The sequence below is a fragment of the Homo sapiens genome, chromosome 9, assembly GCF_000001405.40.
Source record: "Homo sapiens chromosome 9, GRCh38.p14 Primary Assembly".
Lineage (NCBI taxonomy): Eukaryota > Metazoa > Chordata > Mammalia > Primates > Hominidae > Homo > Homo sapiens.
The window spans coordinates 115,096,407-115,119,329 of NC_000009.12; the positions used below are offsets into that span (position 1 = coordinate 115,096,407).

A 22,923-nucleotide genomic window follows, 5' to 3' on the forward strand; every position below is an offset into this window, starting at 1 on the left:
ACAATATGAGACAGTGCAGATGAAGAACATCTCTATCATCCAAAGAAGTTTTATTGAGCAGTACTGGTTTAGAGGATTGCTTGTTTTTACTAAGCGCATGGTACAAAATGAGGAAACTGAGACTCAAAGCGATCAAGAAGAGTCTATAAGAAAGTTTCAATGTTGTTAAGTTTCTTGACTAATGAAAATGGGTGAGTACCTCAGACACAAGAGCCCGGGGATTAGGGAGAAAAAATGGCTTCTTTTTAGCAACTAACTCACTTAACTATAGCAAGCATGTATGTGCATTGTAGTTTCCATACCTTACATGTTTGAACATATCCAGGTACAAGTGAGAAGCAATCCTCAATGCTATTGTCCTTTGCAGATCTGAAGAGATAACTACCCTGTGTCAGATCAGCATCTTTTCCCCCAGCCTTGTCCTTGGGTTAAGAAATATTTTTTTCTTCCTCCCTCTGCACACCTTAGAGTCTCGTAAGAATCTTCTCCCCACGTTAAACTAAAACCAAGTTGCTCCAGGAACCACTCTGGCCAAGTCTAATGTCTCTTTCTGTCTGCTTCAGCCTCTCCTTAGAAGCTGGAGGAGCTTGTCAAAGACAACTCATGACTCCCGTTTCTCTGCTGTCCTGCACTGCTGTGCTCCAGAGTTTTGAGGGCACTCAGTCCATATCCTTCAGCCATCTAAACATTTCCATTAATGAAGCAGTTGCGTGTGGGGGAAAGAGTCTGGTCTTTGGTGTAAAATAAACCTGTGTTCGAATCCAGTTCTATCACTTTAGCAGCTGCTCCCTATGGCCATTCCCTTTCTCCTCTGAACCTCAATTTCCCCGCCTCCTCTCCCTGGAGATACATATGTCTATCTCATAGTGTTGCAGGAGAGTGGGATGAAATGAGAAGACATATGTTAAGCTACTGGCACAGTGCCTGGCACACATTAAGGTGTGCTTAATATGTGGTAGCTAATGATAGCAGCAGCGGTAATAACAACACTGATCCAATAGAGAATAGATCAGAAAGAAAACCTTGTATCCAGAAGGGATGGGGGAATCAGGGAGATACATTCATGATTATAACAAGTAACAAAAGAGATTGGCCAACTCATATCCATTGAAGGTCCCAAGAAAGACATCTCAAAAAAGTGGTATTTGAGATGTACTTGAAAGATGGGCAAGATTCTGAAAAATGGTTGGATACAACTCCAGTAGGTGGGTTCAAATTGAAGCCTACAGCACCCTAGAAAAAAGAAACACCATGAGAAAAGGCAAAGAAGTTGGAATGCATGGGTGGTGAGGAGAATTAAGAAGATAGCTGTAATAATAGTGGCATCTCCTTGTGGGTGCCAGATACATGCCAAGGTGGTGTAGCATGCAGGGAATATGGAGAGGTCTTGTTCTACTAGGGTATAAAATAATGCATAGGAAAGCAGAAAGGTAGAGACTACATGGTATTGGCAGAAGCCATATTGGGAAGGATATAAAAGATCAATATGAAGAGCTGGTACTTAACTCAGTAAGCAATATGGCACCTCTGTAAGGCTAGGTGCCTAACTGCTCACAGTTAGTCATCTGTTGAGAAGGCTGGGTAGAATATAGGCTTTAATATTTAGTCCCCCATTCTCCAAATACCTGGTACATTTATGGCCCCAGCCCGCTACAAAAAATAAGAAGATAAAAACAATGGTCCTGAAAGCTTTTGTGGGGAGTGTGGGGTGGAAGAAGGGTTAAATGTTAAGCTTTAATCTTATTTCAATTGCCTTGGTGTTAAATGTTATCAGTGTTGAATCATTTCTTCAGATTTTGGCATTATAGACTTTTATTCAGAGCATTACTGTGAGATAAAAATTTATTTACCAGGTTGGGAAACCAAGGCCAGTGTCATGCCAGTCGTAATGGCTTTTTAGCTCATAATTTTACACATTAAGCTGCCTCTTGGCTTGCTGTCAAATCCTTCTTTTTTTCTCTTTTACTAGTAGAGCTGTTTGGTAGCTAACCTTTTGGAAGCAGCAGGGAATAGGCTAACAGTTATTTTTGGGCACCTCACTGCAGGACAAAGATCATTGCTAGACGAAGAAATCAACAATCTGATTTTTTCCCTGGTCACAGCTGGAGAATAAACAACTTCATTTTTAGATAAAGATGAAACTTCCAACTGGCTAGAATCATATTTCAGAATTAGTTACTTATGATTTCATTTTTAGTAGCTCATGGAATATATTTATCTTGTTGACTTAAGCACATACATGAAATATTCTAGGTTTGGGAGGACGAGGAGAATTCCTATTGTTTAGAAATGCAGATGAATTTGTTTCCACATCATTTTGGCAACCCATGAGGCAGCTTACACCAAATTTTTCTTCTCGCTTACAGGCCAAAGAGTTTTATTGTGCATGGCCTGTCAAGCATAGAGTTGCTTACATGGGCGTTCTTAAATGTCCTAGAAATTCCTCACCCTTTGTCCTTCCCAACATCCATAAATTCCTTTTTGGAATGTGTCAGGAAGAGAGAGGAGCCAGGAAACAGCCTTAAGTGTGTATTTTTTTTTTTTTTTTTTTCCTGAGGACATCTGATCTCCATAGTTGAGTGAGTCCGGTGCAACCTGTGTCATAAAAGAATTGAGAAAACTCTAACTGCCAAAGCGAAGACCCTCCTAACCCTAGGTGTTTGAAGAATTCCAGAACTGAGAAGTGGTTGTCCATTTAGGCAGCACAGTGGCTTAGCTGGTGCCCAGTTAAGATGCTGGGGGAGCCAGTGATTATCCAAGAGGACTGAGAATTAATTTCTAAATGGTTTATTCTTGCATTCAACAGAGATGTGTTGAACAAGTGTAAGAACGGGCTATGGGATAGCCTAGTGGTGGTGGGGTGTTTCAGAAGCCAATGATGGATAGGTCTTGCCCTTAATGAGCTCACAGTCAGGTATAGAAAGCAGACATGTAAACAGATACTTGTTGTGAAGAATGATAAATACTAACATGGACAAATATCCAAGAAACATCTGTGCAATGTTTGAGGATATCTGCTCTACATCAGTCAAACACTGTTAGATCTTTACTCTGCCACTTGCTATTAATTTGAACCACATGGAATCACCACTCTTTTAGGTCAGAAATAGTTGGGTAGTAGCAAATCCAAAGGGTTCCATCCAGTAGCTGTTTTGGTTGTGTAACATTGCCTGTCTGGGCCTTAATTTTCACATCTGTAAAATGGTAACACTAATATCAACTGCACAATAAAGTTCTTTCAACTGAAAGTGAGAAAAATGAGATAATACAGGCAAAACACTCAGTAACAAATACTTAAAAGGATGGAGACCTTAGCAACTGGTGTGTATTGGTATTATATGATTATTCTGTCTTGTGCTTGGAGACAGCATTTCTAACAGAAGGCTAGTCTCTGAAGGATGAGATCTATAAGACAAATCTGGGAAGCCCTCTCTTTCCCACTGTTGCTTTTTCCATGGAAATGTATAAATCTTAGTATTTCAATTTGTCAAGTAGCAGGGACACTCTAAAATTTTTAGGAAAATGAGGAGGCTGTGGCTACAGCCCTGGTTTTCCTGTTATCCTATCTCTTCTAACTCAGTAGCAAGAAAAGCAAATGAATTAGCCTGGTGTGGGGCTCTTTTCTGGGAGGTCAGGACCCTGGCCAAGGTTCCTCAGGGGCAGTGCTGCTGTTGGGATGGCTGTCCATGCTGCTGAGCCAGGGCTTTCTACTGAATAGACTGCCTGTGGTTTAGTCTTTCAAGACTGTGTTCCTAACGGGAAACATTTGGCCCAGCTTCTCAGTACTTTCCAAAGACACAGACAGACATCAAATTATAGGATCAAAATCATGCTTGAGCAGGACTTAGAAGCAACTGTAGAAGATCATTTGGTATAGGCATGGCAAGTCTGTGGCACAAAACACTTCATTCTAGTGCATGGGGCAGACACAGCTAATCGATAACAACACAATTCTGAGGAGCCCCACTTAAGAATCATTCTAAATCATCACTTCAGGCAGCCAATTAAGTAGTATATAAATAGAGGTAGTATATCACATGAAACTTATTTGCCATAATACCTAGTTATTTAAGAGAATAACTGAATTGAAACACCCAGAGTCACTAGCTAATCAGTGGTGACTTTACTAATTAACTCCTAAAGCTGATATTAAAATCCAGAGATTTTGCCTTTGGGTCAAGGAATTCGATTAAGATCTATCTCTTCCTCTAGACCATTGGGAGGCCTTCAAAAAGGAGTGCATATGTACGGCATGGTGACTACAGTTAATAATAATGCATTGTATACTTCAAATTTGCTAAGATAGTAGTAGACCTTAAGTGTCTTTATCATTGACACACAGAGGTAACTATGTAAAGCGATGGATGTGTTAATTAGCTTGAATCTAGTAATCATATCACAATGTATACATATATTAAATTATCACGTTGTATACCTTAAATGTATAAAATTTTAATTTTAATTTGTCAATTATACCTCAATAAAGCTGGGGGAAAAAAACCTTTAAAAATGCATATGAAAGTCTTTCAGTAATTCTTAGTCTGAGGTCATTGTAATGATCTCCAGAGAGAAATATCAGTGGTGGGATCCTGGAGAGCATTTGTGTTAAAGTATTTCTAGACTTCTTGGCCCTGATGAGTTTTTTACTTTTCTGTCTATCTATCCATCAATTCATCCAACTATCTACTTTTTCAGTACATACGTGCCAAGCCCTGAGTTAAGTATAAACGATACAACACCAAAGAAGATAAACATGTTCTGTATAATCGCAAAGCTCATAATTTCCTCCCAAAGAGTCACAAAATACAATTTATTTATTTTTTGAGATGAAGTCTCGCTCTGTTGCCCAGGCTGGAGTGCAGTGGTGCGATCTCAGCTCATTGCAACTTCTACCTTCCAGGTTCAAGCGATTCTCTTGTCTCAGCCTCCTGAGTAGCTGTGATTACAGGTGCCCACCACCACGCTCAGCTAACTTTTTGTATTTTTAGTAGAGACAGGATTTCATCATGTTGACCAGGCTGGTCTCGAACTCCTGACCTCAGGTGATCTGCCCACCTCTGCCTCCCAAAATGCTAGGGTTACAGGCGTGAGCCACTGCACCTGGCCGCAATTGATTTTAACTCCATGTACAGTTGATTTAGTATTTGTGATATTCTTAAGTGCCACTGCAGGTTGGGAACATGGTGCACTCTCCCAAGCCAATAGCAAGAGTATAAATGTTAACATTCTTTCAAGAGCGAAATGCTATTTACTTAGTATGGACCTCCCAATGTGCTGGGTACTTTGGAAAATAGGCCAAGTAAGGAGCTATTTTTTGTTCCTAGAGATCTCAGAAACTAGAATATCATACACAAGCAAGGTCTGGTATTAATGCCAGCCTGAATGAGATAATTATGTGACACTTTGCACTGGGAAGTTCATGGGGGGCTTCCTAGAAAAGGAAAGAATTACAATCACCAAATAGTGGTTGAAAAGGCCTTGGAAGATCATTAAGAAGTTGACATAATAATAATAATCAGGAAGTTGACATCATCATCATCACCATCATAAGTAATACAGATATCATTAACTATAATTTATTAAGTGTTGATTTTGCCAGAGCCTGTGCTTAGTTAGCATTTTACATTTCCAATTTCAAATTCACATACAATTATGAGATAGTATTTGTACCCTCATTTTGCAGCTGAAAAAACTGAGGCATAGAGTCTTTACATGGCTTGTGCAAGTTCAGACATTATTAAGTTATGGAGTCAGGATTTGAACCAAATCCCATCTGAGTCCAAAGTCAGGGCTCTGAACCATGATTTTATACAGCCTTTTGTGCTGGAGGGCCAAGCAAAGGAGCTATGAGTCAAGACCAGCCCCAACCTCTGACTATATAACTTCCCAACACCTGGCTCAAAGCAGAATACTATCAATCCTCCAGAAGTAGACCATTAAGATGCCAGACAGCCTGTGGCTGCTGTGGAGATGAAGCAAGCTGACAGATACATTTGGGATGCTTCCATTTCTCAGTGATCATTCAGCGAGGGTTCCAGATGCCTTGAAGGCTTCTAGAAGCCTTTTTGCCATCTCTGCATGAATAAATCTATCAGTCCTTCAAGATGCTGCTTAAAGAAATCTACTATTGAAAGGTTTATCAGGTAACTTTGGCCTAAATTTATCTTTCTCTCTTCTGAATTGTCTGGGGAATTGATATGATATTATTTGATTTATCATTTAAAAAAAGATTTGGAATGGCTTTATTATGCATGCATAACTCCTTCTCTTAGGAAATTAGCTAATTCTAGATTGTATTTATATTAGTCTATAAACAGTTGGTTTGCATATGTGCAGTTAGATTGTATGTAGACTATAAGCTCTATGAGGGCAGGGATATATCTGAGACATTCATCTCTGAATGCACAACACAAAACACTTTATCTAGAACATAGTAAATGCACAATATGTTTATATTAAATGAAATGAAGCTGAATGTATTTCTTGGTTTGAACTTACACATAGCAGGTTCTTATATTGTGGAATTAATGAATGAACAAATACTCTTACTTTCCTGATGGCCCTAATGTAATTAGCTCTCCTGTAATCTCTTCTACAGTAAGATGTATCAAGGAATTTGTCACAGCCTCAGTTCTGTAATTAGTTCGTTTTAATTCATTCAGTTATTCAGTGAGTATTTACTACGTTCCAGACACCACACTAAGTGCAGAAGGTACAAAAGTGACAAAGACAGACCTAGCTCCTTCCCATGAGATTCTAGACATCAACCCAAGGGCTTTTAAGAGCTCAGTACTTTCTACTTTGAGACAAGATTTCTCTATGATCAAGTAAACTCCTTTGGCAGAAGGTGGAATTGGCCAGGCCTAAGATGCACTCAGCATGAAAATTTGGTTTTGGTGTGAAGGAAGCATCCTGGGTTATTAGTTAGTAACCCTTTCAATTTCATTGCAGTATTTATCATTTTGTTGTACTGTTGTTAAATATAGGTCTCCCTTTCTCATTTTAAATTTTTACCTTCATTACTTTTTTTTAAGTTCCCAGATACTTGGCCTCTTATGAGGCCATATAACAGGAAGTGCAATAAATGGAAGATCTGGAGGAGAAGCTCTGAGCTCCTCTTCTGCCAAGCAGGTCTGACCAACAGGGTCATTGTGTGACCTTGGGCAAGTCGCATCCACTCTTGAGGTCTCAGTTTCTCTTGTAAAATGAGCAACTGTGTATGGTTTCCAATTCTAAGATCCCTTTGGTTCCAGTGATCTGTGGTCCATTGCTAATTTCACAATATTTTTGTTGAACTTAATTTTGAATTTCACTTTAGACCCAAGTCAACTGGCCAACATTAAGTACAAACCCTCCAAATAGTGTTTCTTTCCATAGTTTGGCTTAAGCATTGGTGGTGCCTCACGACTTCCTCCCTCCTGCCCCTTGAACAGAAGTTCCATTACCAACCAAATTAAATCCACAAATCTTAATCCATAAAATATTTCCATCCAGACACAATAATGAGATTCATATTTGTGGTTTAGTATACCTAAGAAATGCTCAGATGAAATATGACTAGATCCATTGATACATTCAGACCACAAACTGCCCTGGTGTGGTCTGGTTTCAATTTTTGAAATAAAACTGCAGAGCACTTGCTTTCTCTCTTCTATTTCTTGCCTAGACAGAAAAGAAAATAAAAAGTGGTTCTGGACAAGTGGCAACAATATAGATTCCTGTAAAATTCTGGAAAATTATTTCAAAAATAAATTTGAATTCATTTCCCAATGGAACAATGACCTCTTCTATTTTGGTCTTCATCCAGAATTTTAAGAAATCTAGTTGGCTCTTTCAGAAGCATTGAATAGTGAGTTCTCAAAGTCTTGAGCCAAGGTTAAGAAATGGAAGAGATTTATCTAGGAAGAACCGATTACAGACAGACTTACAACACAACCCTAAATAAGAGAACTTCTGAATAGGGGTCTGTGAGATGGTTGCCTTTGTGAAACTGTTATCAGCCACCCAAAGTCAGAAATTTAGTCCCGAAAGACCCTGAAAAATTTTAAGAAGGCATTGTGATGGGAGAGACAGGGGCATTGCCTTTAGAGTCAGGAAGACTTAAGACCAATTTCTACTTATCTGCTGGGGAGCCTTGGACAACGTCCTATACCTTCTGAATTGTGGCTTATTCAACTATAAAATCTCTCCAGGGTTGTTTGAGGCAGTGAATGGGACAACAAAGCTATAAGTGCCTGACATATTAATAATAAACGTTACACATATGTTAGTATATCTTCTCCTCTTCTTTCCTTTTCCTGTCTCCCTTTATGAGAGAGCTCCATGACATTGGGCATATTAAAAAATAAAAGAGTAATAGTGTAGAGGTGGTTCAAGCACTGGTTAAGAAGTAGAATTGGTTTGGGATCAATTATGTTTCAACTCAAAGAGCTGACATAGCTACCTGGAACTGCCTTGAGAAAGATTCTGTGGCTATGATTAGGCTTTCGGGAAAAGGTGCTGTGATGGATTAGCAATATCCACCATGGGTACAGGAGTGGAGAGTGTTGACGTGTACACCAAATATTTGGCATAGCAAAACTAGACAGCTTTGGAAATCTTTCCCGATCCAATGTGCTAATATTCAAATGAATGGAATCCTGCTTGAGTGGGATTTGCATCAGAAGGAGCCAGATGGAGCCATTGACAATTACAAAATCCTGTTTAAATCAAGTTCAATAAAGTCTCATACATTTTGATAGAATATGACTCATGAAACAAAAATACGTCTCTAGGACTGGAAGCAGGAAACCAGACTCTCAGGGAAAACTAAGACTACTCCCGTAATTAATTTGTGTGACCTCAGGCAAAGCAAACATACTTTCATTGTCTATTTTCCCTTTCCCAAAATGGGACCATCTAAATGCTATAATAATAATGAACATTGATTGCATATGTCGTCTGTGCCAGACACTGCTTTTTGTGTCTTCTGTGGATTATCTCATTGAATCCTCCCCAAGACTTCTGAGGTAGTTGTCTTTATTTTTCACAGTTTATGGAGGAGAAAACTGAGGCTCACACAGCTCAAGATCACATAGCTAGAAACGGGGAACAGAAATTTAAATCAGGTGAACTGATTCACTTGTTTTAATTATGTTAAAGGGTGGTTTGCATAACTAAGGTCGGGGTCCAGAGAAACTACTGGTAATGAAATATCTTTATGATCTACAGGCAGGACAGGAAAAACTGCAGAAAAATCTGAAAAATAGAGATATGTCTAACCCCCTTAACTTGGCTTTAACTTAGCTGTGTAACTTTAAACAGCATTTTCTAAAGTGTAATCTACAACACGTTGATAGGTACTAATCTGAGGGAAAAAGATTTCCTAATTAAACACGTTTGGAAAATGTTATTTTAAACCAAATATGATTTTAAGCCAAACAAATTACACAACTTTCTTTACTTCAGGTTTTTCCAGGGTGTTTAATAGGTTCATGCTCGTTGGAAATCTCGAAGAAGGGGACAGTTTATAGAGTGTTTCCCAAATCTACTTGATTATTCTGTTTGAAGTGAGTCACAGGATTAGGTTGGATGGCACACGATGGGGGAAGAACTGATAGAGAACAAATCCTAGACCCTTACTCCTTTCATTTCTTCCTGTATTAGAAGGAAGTAGAGATATACCTAACTATGACCTCTCTGGGATAAAATGTGAAGCTCTATGTTAGAGGATCTTGAGCAATTTAAACTAAGAGTGAAGCAAGTAGGTCAATATTTATACTGTGCGTGGCACTTTACAAATGCTGTTTAATCATGTTACCAACTCTGGGAATTAGGGAGCATTGTTTGTATTTTACTGGTAAGAGAACTGAAGGCTTAAGAAGGTTAAGTAAGTGGCCTAGTCAGCAATTATTTGAATCAGAATTAAGAACAGTCTTATAATTCCAAAGTCTATGCTCTTTCTGCTATATCAAGTTACCTTTGAAGTAAGATTCATTGTTCAAGTTAAAGAATTAATATTTATCTACTAACTATCAGAGAGAAACACAATATCATTAATATGAATAGAGTTGTTGGATTTGCAAAATGGAACAAGGTAGGATGGTGTTTGGGAATTGGGGTTTACATAACTATTTTATTTACTGTTGTGAACTTGAGGGGAGGGCATAGGCCAGGTGGACTATAATATCTGTGTCTTAGGCAAATCTTTAAAGCCCCTGGAGAAAAGCCTGCTCTCCTTGAGTCTGACCTGAAGAGAAGGTTAATAAGTGAGAGGAAGATACAGTGAGAAGTAGCAGATGGGGGAGCTAAAAATCTATCATTTCTGGAAAACTGGGCTTCACACTATGTACTATCTAAAAAACGTGTGGTTTCCAAGAAATCAGTCAAGATCAGAGAGCGTTTCAGAGGGGCTGGAAATTACCACTTTCAGTTTTGAAAGCATGGACTTCTATGAACAAACAACTTATTTGTATAAGTAAGGAAAGGAGGGAAAATTCCTTCTAAATAGGATCATTTAATTCAGCATATGGCAGGAAATTCAAGAAATTAGCCAGAGAGAAATACTAGTCAGAGGAAGGCAGAGGCAAATGAAGATGAATCATACAAATGAATAACTTTTAATCATTATTCTGAACTTCTTTTAGGTATAGAGTTTGGCATTATGTTTTTGGAGGGGAACTTACTAGATGATTTTTTTTTTCTGCTTCAATCTCTATATACACAAGTATGATAATATCCACCTTGTTAGGTTAAGGTGACTGGAAAGTAAGTATAAAAATTTAGTAAGGTTGACTGGAAGGGATCAGTAAACATTTCCTTAAATGACCAAATAGAAAATATGTAAAGCTTTGCAGTTAGATGATTTCAGTCACAACTATTCAACTCTGCTATTGTAGAGGCAGCAGCTATAGATAATACACAAACAAATGAGCATGGCTGTGTTCCAATAAAACTTTATTTACAAAAATAGGCTGCCACCCTATGGTTTGCTAACCTCTGCTGGAATATAGTAGTTATTCAATAAATGACAGCTTCTATTATGAAACTAAATACAGATTGAATTGAACAATAAGGAAACTAACATTTTGTTGAGTGCCTATTATATACATTTTTATGCCAAATCTTACACTAAATGCTTTTTATTCATGCTATCATTTATCTTGTCATTTGTCATGACAACCTGGTGAGTTAGGTATTATTATGCTTATTTGAAAATTAATTTGAGACTCAGGGAGTTTCCATGACTGGCTTAAGAGGCAGAGCCAGCTTTTGAATCCTGATTTATTTGTGGTTCTAAAATGTCTGCTTTCAACTACATTGAGCTACACTGGGCTGACTCCTAAAGGAATTTTCTTAGTTCAGATAAGGTAAAAACTTAAATTTTTACTGCTCCATAAAGAAAGAGATCAGCATTCAAGTGGATGAACTCACTTTCCATTTCCTAGACCTTCAGCAGCTCTTTGGTGGCTGTGCACATGTAAGCACCAAAATATTTGACCTCTGTTTTTCTCCCAGAACCTCTGGCTGGATCTCAAGTTTTATGTACTTCCTTTTTGGAGAATACTTAAGCCAAGGTGTACTGTTTGCAAACACTTATTAGCCTTGGGTAGATATTGGCGAGTTTCCGTTGGCATCAAATGGGCTTCCAGAATCTGCTGAGGCCTGGCTGTGCTCATTGATTGTCTTTGCCAAAAAGAGCTGCTAATTAGGATGACATCCTGCTTGTCTCTACCTCTAGAGCTAGGTTTTCCTTCCTGGGCATGCCTATTTTGTCCCAAGCAGTATGTTTGGATTTTTAGTGCAGATCTAGATGAACAAGAGCAAATTTGCAGTCCCTTTAAAATCTATGAAGCCTTGTGCTCCAGTGAAGAATTTCCCAGACTACGTTGCAAGATGTTTTTAGGTAGATGTCCTATGGTCAGGTATGTTTGGAGATACTGGGCTAACGAAAGTTGAACAGATTAATTACAGCAAGATATCTCAGATGATGCACTCTACTTCCCTGAACCATCCATTGGCTTCTAACCACACTCAGAATGAAATTCAAACTCCTAGCCATTGCCTACAGAGCTCCTTCTCTCATTTCATTCAGACATCTGCACAATGGCACATTCACCTCTCACCCCATCTAAAAGAGCACTCCTCTCACCACCAGTCATTGTTTATGCCCTTACCTTGTTTTGTCTTTCTTCTTAGCAAATATCACTACCTGAAATTGTGCTATAAGTTTATGTGATTCCTTTTTATTGTCTGCCTTCCCCCTGCTATGGTCTGAATGTTTGTGTTCCCTCAAAATCCACACATTGGAACATAATCACCAGTGTGACAATATTAGTTGGCAGAGTCTTTGGGAGGTACTTAGATCATGAGGGCAGAGGCTTCATAAATAGAATTTGTGCCCTTATTAAAAGAGACCCCATAGAGCTGCCTTATGTCTTCTGCCATGTGAGGACATATAAGGTGCCATCTTGATCTTGGACTTCCCAGCCTCCAGAACTGTGAGAAAGTAATTTCTGTTGTTTGTAAGTCACTCAGTTTATGGTATTTTGTTGTAGCAGCTTGTACAAACTAAGATATGCCACCATAATGTAAACACCATGAATAAAAGGATCTTGACTGTATTGCTTTCTATTGTATCACCAGCCCTAAAACTATGTATTGAATGGACATATGAGCTGTGCATTTCCAAGAACAGAAGAGTACCAAGTGTTTCCCAAACTCATTTGGCCACAAAACCCTTTTTTAGGTGATTCCCATGAGAATGCTTTTCCACATGACACACTTTTGGGAACTGCTTCTCTAGTGGGATCTTATCATCAAGAACTATTTGATCAACAGGTAACAAAACAATGACAACAACAAAACATTTATATTGAATGCCAGTTTCTGTGCTAAGCAGTGTTCATGAACTACATCATTTAATCATCACAATAAACTTTAAACTAGGTGCTACTACTTTGCTTTTAATATGGATAAGAAGAAATTAGCTTAAAGAAGCTAAGTAACTTGGCCAAGATCACATAGCAAGCAAATACCTCTCAAACCCAGAGGATTCTTATGCCAAAGTCATACTCTTAACCATTATTCATTTCTTCTTGTGGGCTGTGAGCTTCTCCATGTCCTAAGATAGAGAGCTCTTTGTCTCCATCCCACCCTTGAGCCTGTTCTTTCCTCCTATTAGTTGTTGACTAATCTTTGTTATAACCTCCAGATTTTCAGCTATCTCTTGTGACTCAGCCTCAAATCCCCAGACAGGACTCCTCTGTCCTTGGTACTGGTTTTTCCAAATCCAAAGCAATTTGTGTTTTTATCCTGAAGGCCACCTCTGAAAGCAAACACATTCCTTGAGGTCTGTGTCCTGAGACAGTTTCCTGTCCTAGGGCTGGGATGGTTTCCTCCTATCACATGTTGTGTCATCACACTGCATACTTGCAAGCCAGTGGGTGAAGCGTGAAAACAACTTCAAGCTCTGGGCTTTCTGAGCAAACTGCTAAGGAAGAGGATGTCCAAATCTGGGACACAGCAAGGACTCCTATTAATTGCTAAAGATTAACTTTATTCCAGTTGTGCTAGGTTTCAGATAAACCAGATACAATTTTTTCTTTTAGGAACTATATTGTCAAGAGGGGCAGACAGGCCATTCCAGGATGATAAAGGAGATGATAGATTTAAAAAAAGAAACATAGGTAGAATGAGATGACAGTAAAAGGGCATCTAATTTACCTGGAGGAAGTGGTGCCTGAACTGAATTTTGAGAGAAAAATATGAATAGGTGAAAAACATAAAAAAGGATATTCTAGGCACGAGGGAATGGCATTTACAAGGATATAAAAAGAATAAAAGGGTTGATGTGAACAGTATGAATGACAGCTGAAGTACAGGATCTGTTTAGAGACCAGAAGCAAGATCATGGAGAATCTTGAATGTCAGAATATCTGGACTTTTTTGCAGGCAGAAGAAAAGCATTTGGAAATCTTGAGGCCCAGGAATGTTAACCTCTATGTCTCAGGTTGAAGAAGGGGAAGGCTGGGTTGCTGGGGGCCAGTGGGAAAGCTGTTGCAGTGGCCCATCTGTGAGATGCTAAGATCTGAACTACAGGGGTAATGGAGGTGGGGCAGGGGGTGGTGATCAAGAAAGTGGGGAGGCAGTGAACAGATTTGCTTGTCAAGGCAGTAGAGACTACAACATTTTGTGTGTGGGGTTAGTAAAGAAAAAAGAATTAATCGAAGATGTTACTATTCATTATATCTGCTGAGAGGAATAGATTGAGGGAGGAACAATGGATGAGTTTTAGTTTTGGTCACACTGACTGTCTTGCTTTAGAATAAAATACATTTGGAATCATTGCCGTGAAAGGCCCCTCCCTGGGGTGAAATTCAAGAGAAATTATGGCTAACCAATGAGTTAAAACAACTAATCAAAACACTTGGCTCCACTATATACATGGGAGGATGTTAAATAAAAACTAGTCCACTTTAGTGGCTGCCAGAATTTTTTTTTTTTTTTTTTTGAGACAGAGTCTCACTGTGTTGCCCAGGCTGGAGTGCAGTGGTGTGATCTCGGCTAACTGCAAGCTCCGCCTCCCAGGTTCACGCCAGTCTCCTGCCTCAGCCTCCTGAGTAGCTGGGACTACAGGTGCCCGCCACCACACCCAGCTAATTTTTTGTATTTTTAGTAGAGACGGGGTTTCACCATGGTCTCGATCAATTTTTTTATTACTCATCAGTGAGGGTACTGAAGGGTTGAGTGAACTTGTCATTGATAAGAGGTTGCCAGAAATTGGTGACACTGGAGTGCTGGAGGCTGTGGCAGGCAGACTCTAAGGTGGCCCCATTGATACTGCCTCCCGGCATTCTCATACGTGTGCAATTACCTCCCCTTGAGTGTGGGATGGCCCAGTGACTTTCTTCTAACAAACAGAATATGACTAAGGTGATGGAATATCCCTTCCATGATTAGGTTACACAGGATTGTGATGTGCCTCTTGCTTATAGACTTTCTCTCTCTCTCTCTTTTTTTTTTTTTTTTTTTTTTTTTTGAGATGGAATCTCGCTCTTGTTGCACAGGCTGGAGTGGAATGGCTCGATCTTGGCTCACTGCAACCTACGACTCCCAAGTTCAAGTGATTCTCCTGCTTCAGCTTCCTGAGTAGCTGGGATTACAGGTGCCCACCACCATGCCAGGCTAATTTTTTTGTATTTTTAGTAGATACGGGGTTTCAGCATATTGGCCAGGCTGGTCTCGAACTCCTAACCTCAAGTGATCCACCCGCCTCGGGCTCCCAAAGTGCTGGGATTAAGAGGTGTGAGCGACCATGCCCGGTAACTCTCTTTCTCATTGGCTTTGTTAATGTAAATGGCCTTGTTGGAGAAGCCCATGTGGCAAGGAACTGAGGGTAGCCTTGGACCAACAGCTTTGAAGGAACTGAGGCCCTCAGTTCAATATCTCTCAAGAAATGGAGTCCAGCCAACAACCACATCAACAAGCTTGGAAGCTAATCATCCCCCAATTCAGCCTTTAGATGAGACATCAACCCTGTCCAACACAGACAATAACCTCATGAGAGACCATGAGGCAGAAAATCCAACTAAGCTGTGCTTAGACCTCTAGAAACCATGAGATAATAAATGAGTGTTGATTTAAAGTAATTTGGTATGCAGTAATAGATAATGAATACGGAGATACTAGTCATCCTTGGCTCGGTCCGTGTGAGTTAAGGCTGTTGAGAGAATAAGACTCTGCTCATTTTTCTTTTCTAAAAGAATGTCTTAATTCTGAAACTTTTAAGATTGTCCCTGGCTTCCAAGAGCAAGAGTCAGAAGACCTAGGATTCCAACCTGACCCTGTTGCCAACTGGCGGAAGATCTTAGAAAGATCTTTCCCTTCTCTATGTCTCAGTTTCACCCTCTTTAAAATGAGGTATGCTAACCTAGGCCAGCAATTTACAAAAACATTCTGTTTTTTCTGCACAGAGCCCTTTCATCAAATAAAATTTCATGAGGAGGCTCAGTGTACAAAATAGATAAGTGGAGGGGCTTTCATTGAAATAAGGTTGAGGGGAATCCCCTGCTTGGCCTCCCTGTCTCTCCACAGCAGCCCCCAAATCTTTTTAAATTCTTTTTAAAATCCAGTCTGCAAGATTCTGGCTTAGAGGCTGCCCGTAAGCCCTTTTAGTTTGAAAATTCTGTATTCCCTAAGGAGATTTAAGAAAATAGTAACCTACCTAGAAGTTAAAGCATTCCTCTGCAATATCTGTGCATCGACCTTCACAAGACCATCCCACAGTCCTGGGCATCTCCTTTGGGGACTGTGCTAATGGTGCGTCTGCCCATGGTGGGTCCGTTTTTGGGGAAAATGAACTCCAGCAGACAAAGCTCCCGCCTCCCTAACATTCTTGACCTCAGTGGTGTACAGTCCAGTGTGGCAGGGAAGGCAATCATAGGGGTAATTATGACACAGACAGTGGGGGACGTGCAGAGCTCAGTTGGAACCTGGAGCAGGGGGATTCCAGGCAGCCTGCAGGGCACTCATGGCTTCCCTTGGGCAGCACTTGCTTATGTGTGTCTATGCTTCAGGTCTCAGGCTGGTTGCAGGGATGTGATGTGGATCGGGCTTTGCCCTCATGTAGCTTAAAGTCTAGTAGAGAAAACGTATTACATTATGGGTCACATGCTAATCATTTAATTACAGTTTTTTTCAAGAGGTGAAGCCTGAAGGAGCAAGCTGGAGATAGCAAAATTAACCAGTCTGTCAAAGAACACCAGGGCCAAAAAGACAAGCTTTTGTGTCTTTCTTAGCTTTGCTGTGTCTAGCCCTCTCTCTTGTCAGAAGATGAATAGAATTAGGGAGCTGAGCATGACTTCCTTACTGAAATGGTTATAACTAGCCTCTCAGGACTGGGAACTGGGTTTGATTTTTAACTCCACCAAGTACTTTCTGCATGGTATTGGGTAAGCTACTTAAACGTTTTCAGCCTTACATTGTGCATATTTGAATAGGGTGGGTGATAAGACTTACTAGAAGCTATGGTTGACTAAATGGCATGATGCCTATAGAGTCCTCAGTAAATATTAGCTATTACGATTATCCCCTAGGATTCTCCTAGGAGAACATTTCAGACACATTCTTGTCGAAGTTAGCAGCAGCCAGCTTTAGGGTTAGAGGTGAACAACGGTCAATTCTGAAGCAAAGCTATCTATGTTCAGAACTCATGATATATCTCTGGCTCTTGGTATAGGGTATTTGAGGAGGGTTAAAGGACCAAACAAAGCTATTTAAGTTACCATGGCTATATCATGAAGGACCTATGAACTTCAGGAAACTTCAAAATTCTGAGACGACGTGGCATGAAATACATATTTTTAAAATCTCCATTCACAGATAGACTAAAAATGCACATGGAAGGGATTTTCCGTTCGCGATCTGCTTTTGACTTGGGCATTTTGCTTTTATTCCATGATGAAGGGCCAAAGAGAGTAATGATAGTGACAGGGTTGTTTCTAAAGTGGAAGAGAAGCTGGAAATGTGAGACAAGGTGGAGGGAAAGGAGTTTAGGCTTAAGGGCATAACTGAAAAATGTCTGGCCACCAGGATTAGAATCAGGTTGGTTTGCAGACTTTTCTCCTTTACAGAGAAGTCACAAAGCATGTATAGCCCCCGAAGGTAGGTAAGTTCACCATCTCTGTCTTTTACATTGAATGGAATTATGGCCTGGGGTTTGCAGGAGGCTGGTCATGTCACACTTTGAGGGGGGTTTTCCTCCTTGGAAGGGAGCCTTCATCTAATGTTTCCCACATGTTGAAGGTGTTCAAACTGGCCCGGGATAAGATTCAAGGGGATTCCCTACAATCTTCTCAGAGTGAGAGGTATTTGAATCATAATCTTCCTCTCTGAGGCTTCCGCTGAATTTGTGGCTCAATTTGTGGCTCGGAGCCTACAACCATTTCCAAGCTGTCCTGGGATTCATGGCCCCAAGGCCGATTTCACTTTACCTACCAATCAGCCCTTTTAAAACCAGATGTTTGGCTCACCTGTGTGCCTACTTTTCTGAGATGAAAATCAGCAGGAGTGACCTGACTGCTACCTCTAGTTTCATTCTTCTCTCTTCCAGGGCTGAAATTTGAACTTTCCTGTTTCCAGGCAGAGAGTTGCACCATTGAGAGCTGACCTTTGCTGAGAACCATGAAAAATGATACATGCAGGGCTATTCTGTAAAATCAATAGGCACCAATGCCAGCTGGGGGCTTCTCCACCATCTTGATCATTCACTGAAAGACACCATTTAAGGTTCTAAACTTGGTCAGCACAGCCTGACTTCAGAAGGCAATATAGCACAGCAGAAAGAACAGTGGGGTATTAGTTAGAAAGCTTGGGTCAAAGCCAGCTCTGCCCCTCAATTACGGAAAGACCTCAGATGAGTCACCTAACTTCCTTGAGTGTCGATTTCTTTAAAATTGAGCTAGTAATTTATAATTTGTAGTGTCTGAGTGAGAATGAGATGAGAAACCATTGGCAAACCCTCCTATTACATATGTGACACTATTAACTTTGTGTTTGTGTGTTTTACCATCACAAAAGGACATATATTTCGAGCCAACTAAATGTTTGCAACCTACTTTTTACGTTTCAAACTGAAGTGGCTTCAGCATGAAGGGGGCTGCGCTTTGGTCCAGTGGATATGTTTTCTTGTAAGAAAGCACAGCTAGGTGTCTATAGAAATCTAGAGAGAGAGGAGAGAATATGTGCTCTTAATTTATTGTTAGCATTAGAAAGGGTAGGATTAAGGGGGATATGTTTTTCATTCTGTCAGCTTGAATTCTCTTTCCAAATTCCATTCTGGTTATATGATCAGGCTACTGCTGTATTTATGGGTGGCCACAGTCTGCCTGGAGGGGCATATTTAGTCAGAAAGGAAGTGTTTTCCTTCTAAAGGCAGGCAAGAAGCAGAGAAGCATTCAGAAGGAACACGGCAGAATGTACCTCTGACTTGGTGATCACGGGGACCTGGGTGTGAAACCTGGCTGTATCACTCTGAGTTCTAGGACCTTGGTAAAGTTATTCAGTCTCCCTGTTCTTGAAGCCATCTCTTTGTCCAACAAATATAGTCCATACCTCAGAGACATGCTGTGGATGATCCCACAAAAGCCTACAGTTTAGAGAGTAGGCTCATCATATATTTTGGCTATCATTGTCATTAGAATTAATTAAAATAGCCTTTGTTAAGTCTTTTATTTCTCATTCATATTCCTGTCTATTACACTATTTGTGGACTTGCTCTTACTTCTGCTACAGATGGTGACTCAGAGGGGCAAAAATCCTTGTTGAAGGGCAGAATGGCAACCAGAATGCACACAGCCTGGTTTCATGATTTGTAAATGTGCTTTTTGTCATTGAAGATTCTGTGGCAATGTCCCAGAGGCTAAGAGCAAAGGTGTAAGTTTTAGACCTTGTGACCCCACTTCAACCAAAGCAGCCCTGCATTTACCTGTCATATACTGGGGGTTTGCCCTAAATTCATGTAATGAATATTTTCATCATTAAAAATAAGTTTAAAAATCATGATCTTAGAATATTAATCTTGGACAAGTCCTTGTAAAATGATAAACAGAGAAACTAAGAAAAGTTTCCATTTATTGAACCCTTAATATGTGGAAGGTACTATGCCAAGTGTTTGCCATATATTACCTCATTTGAATGTTGCAAGAGCCCTGTGAGACATAGTTTGTCATCTCCATTATATGAATGACAAAGTTGAGGGCTGAAACGTTAGTCACTTCTTAGAGTGGGGAAGGAGGAGGTTAGTGTGGGATAAAATAGAGAAGCTAGGTTTTTAAAACAAAGCATAGAGGAAAAAAATATTTAATGACTGTAGAGCTTGGCAACATCCCTTTCAATCCTTGTCCAATTTACCCTGTTTGAGCAAACCAGAGAATACTCATATTGTGCACCTTTTTCTTCCCCACAAAGCAGTCACCTTCCTGAAATGCAAGGGCCAAAGCACGCTGACTTACATCTCCTGCAAATGACTTGTATGCGCACAAAGCCAGAAACTCTTCACTTGGTTGTCTAGGACTGAATAAATCTTCTTCAGTCCTGAATTGGGCTTGCCTGGCTGGGATGGATAGTAGTTTTCCTTTCTAAAACACATATGGGAAAGCTCTGTAAAAATGGGGGAAAAAGTCTACAAAAACATGAAAAAGAGGCATTCATTCTTCAAGTGGTGCTCCCTGTCCTGCCCTCCCTCCGGACAGAAAGCTTTTCCAAAGAGTTTCCAACAGCATCGTACTTCATAGCTGTCAGCTTTAGAATCTGCAGATGCCTAAACTCAAAACCTCCTGACATTCTGGAATCAAAATTTGACATTAACTTCCAGCCCCGGGCTACTACCTTTTCTCCAACCTGTGCCAACACAACCTCCTGCTTGTAAAATACAGCCAAGTCTCAGACCTGCCAGCCTAGTGAGACACCCTCAGATTGGGTGAGATAAAAAGCGGGGGCTGGGGGCGGGCTGAGGAACAACACACAAGAAACAATCCAAGACTGGCTCAATGCCTCTTTTAACTTCCAGAGTGATGGCAGTTTTTGGCAATGACAATGATTATCCAAACTTCCAGTTATTAAGCAGTCATTGCTGATCTTTCTATACCTCATTTTCTCCTCAAAACGACAGCAGACGCTATTGTCCCCATTTTAGAGATGTGAAAACTGAGGATTAAGGAAGTGATGTATCTTTCTCAGGGTCATATGTATGGTGGTGGGGAGAATACCAAACACCTCTGGCTTCAAACCTAAGCTCTTATTCCTCTTACAACACTGATGGGTGAGAAGAACCCCTGTGTTCTTTCCAAAGTACACCAGGGGCAGCAGGGTTCCCATACCTGGGGGATGTTGTTGCTCAGATCTTTCTGTGATGAGAGGTGAGGAGGAGGAGGTGATTCTAGAGACATGTGGGACGCTGCTGGCTCTAGGCACCCCAGTAAAGCTGTTCTCCACCACTCTCTAGCTGCCTGTCAGTTATTCATCTGGCCCAGGAGCCACCTCCTCTCTTCTGTCCCCCAGCTCTCATTTCCAGGGTGAATATTTTGAGGACCAAATGAGGGAATGGGTACAAAACTCTTTGTAAACTTTATGTAAGTGCTGTTTAGATATAAACTTTTATATTCTCCCTGCACTCCTCTATCAAACTCCCTCTAACCCATCCCAGGGGCAGGCTATGAGCAAAGTCTGCCTTAAAACTCTACTGCCCTAACCCTCAAAATAAAAGATATATACAGGTGAATCAGCCAGACTAGAAGTAGGAGAGCAGTTGAAGAGAAAATTTTTACTTTTCCTCTGCAGAACAGCAGAAGATAACAACTTTACGAAAAGTTCCTTCCAAGTCTGACTATTCATAAAGTTAAAACAAACAAAATTACAAGACCAGAAAAGTCAAGGTGCATCTGATATAACCAATACACACTCCTTTTTTTTCCAGCGGTGGAAAAAAAAACCCCATATGTTTTGTAATTATAATATAAAATCACAACTCATTTGGTACCAGGAATGCAATCCTTACATCATAAGGATCTCTAGTGATGAGGGCAAAACAGACTTACCTTTCCGATGGGCGAGAGACCTAGGTCCTTGGAAGAAGTACCTGGAGTGTGGAGCTGCGGCGGTTCCCACGTGCGCGTTCCCCCGAGTTCCCCAGCAGCGCTGCCTTTGTGCCCACGGAGGCGGGGGCGTGTATCTGCGCGCGGGAGAGGCGGGTGACAGTAGGCAGGCTGTGGCCGGTGCAGCCAACTTTGGCTGGCTTATATAGCGAGCTCCTTCCTCTGTAATGGGACGCCTCGCCTCCAGACATCCTTTCCCACTTTTTCAGTTGGCGAATTAAAGGAACAGCCCTCCCAGCGGAACAGGGTTAGCTCATGAAAGACGCACTCACTCCTGGCTCTCGGCCAGGGAAGGAACCCATTTGCATACAATTTATGGCGAAAGTAGGAATTCCCGCCTGCCCGCCCCCGACCCCGAGTAGCTGTTAGTGAAATGTGATTTTTGCTTTGCTCCCCACACGGGTTTTCTAATTGTGAGACGGATGCCTGGGGAGCAAGAGGGAGTAGGATCCGCAGCCCTGGCTCCCCTCTTGTACTTGGTCAAGCTGGAAATGGGACCAGGGCTCGCCTGGGCTCTGGGCAGCAGCTGCTCAGTGGCACCTCGGAGCGAGTACAGGGACTGAGCCCAGTTCCTGGAAAGAGGAGATAAAGCCCTTCAAAAGCCTGGGGGGTTTCAGGTTTCTCTGGGCCAGCGGAGAGATAACCCAGGATTAGGTCTCAGCAGGTGGGGATCGTGCGGGACGCTCACATCAGCCCTGCTTTTCTTGTGTGGGAGCCAGCCTTGCCCAGCTGCTGGGAGGCATCTTTGTTCCAGCCCCAGTGTCCTGCAGGGCAGTAGCTTTTTGACATTGTTCATGCCCTGTGCCTGGTGTGGTCTTCTCAGCTGGGTCTCCAGGGGGAAGGATTTCTGAGGTTTTCTCTTAGTGCTGAAAGGCGTCCCCCACAGCCCTTTCTTTAAAGAAAAGCAATAATTTAAAAAGGTAACAACCTAATCCTTGAGCCATAAGCTGCGCCTTTGCTTTCCAGCCTGCCGTGGATTTCCTCCAAGCTCTGAGTCATCCGTTCGTTTGGTGGTTAGCATGCATTGAGTATCCTCAGGGCATACAGGGGCATTTAAGGGAGTGGAGAAGTAGCACTTCACCCGTGCCTAGAGACTTCTGAGCCTGCCGCAGAGCATAGTAGTTTGTGACAGTGAAGTAAAATGAAGCATTAAATGTAATTCAAAACGCAACTACCATTGAGCCCTCCCTTATTAAGTCTATAATCAGGTGCTGTGCAGGGTACTTTATGAACACTATTTTTGTTCACTATTTTTATTATATCCTTGTAACCAGTAAGTAGGATAGACACA

General features: G+C 41.0%; 1 protein-coding gene and 1 long non-coding RNA gene across 43 annotated transcripts in view, besides 2 other annotated features; one reads left to right on the forward strand and one right to left on the reverse strand.

The window, feature by feature from the left end:
• TNC (tenascin C) overlaps positions 1–21,751 on the reverse strand; it is a 98,583-nt gene extending 76,832 nt beyond the window's left edge. For 22 of the 42 annotated variants that reach the window (NM_001439099.1, NM_001439096.1, NM_001439098.1 and 19 more), the window contains exon 1: positions 21,576–21,751. The gene's annotated coding sequence lies outside the window, so the exon portion shown is untranslated. Of the gene's footprint in view, positions 1–18,596; positions 20,118–21,575 lie in introns of all 42 variants that reach the window. The other 20 variants (NM_001439100.1, NM_001439095.1, NM_001439088.1 and 17 more) reach the window with 3 other exon arrangements.
• LOC124902255 (uncharacterized) overlaps positions 1–22,923 on the forward strand; it is a 35,154-nt gene that overhangs the window by 9,016 nt on the left and 3,215 nt on the right. Inside the window, exon 2 of the long non-coding RNA XR_007061746.1 lies at positions 15,023–15,145. This is a non-coding gene — a long non-coding RNA (uncharacterized LOC124902255). The remainder of the gene's footprint in view (positions 1–15,022; positions 15,146–22,923) is intronic.
• Positions 17,507–18,706: an enhancer, noted in NCBI's record as "P300/CBP strongly-dependent group 1 enhancer chr9:117876192-117877391 (GRCh37/hg19 assembly coordinates)". NCBI's record gives its function as "activates an origin of replication core promoter dependent on BRD2, BRD4, P300/CBP, MED14 and CDK7 cofactors, with strong dependence on P300/CBP, by STARR-seq in HCT116 cells {active_cell/tissue: HCT116}" and the evidence as "EXISTENCE:reporter gene assay evidence [ECO:0000049][PMID:35650434]".
• Positions 22,030–22,849: an enhancer, noted in NCBI's record as "NANOG-H3K27ac-H3K4me1 hESC enhancer chr9:117880715-117881534 (GRCh37/hg19 assembly coordinates)". NCBI's record gives its function as "activates a minimal SCP1, AML or CMV promoter by ChIP-STARR-seq in naive H9 embryonic stem cells {active_cell/tissue: H9 hESC(naive)}" and the evidence as "EXISTENCE:reporter gene assay evidence [ECO:0000049][PMID:30033119]".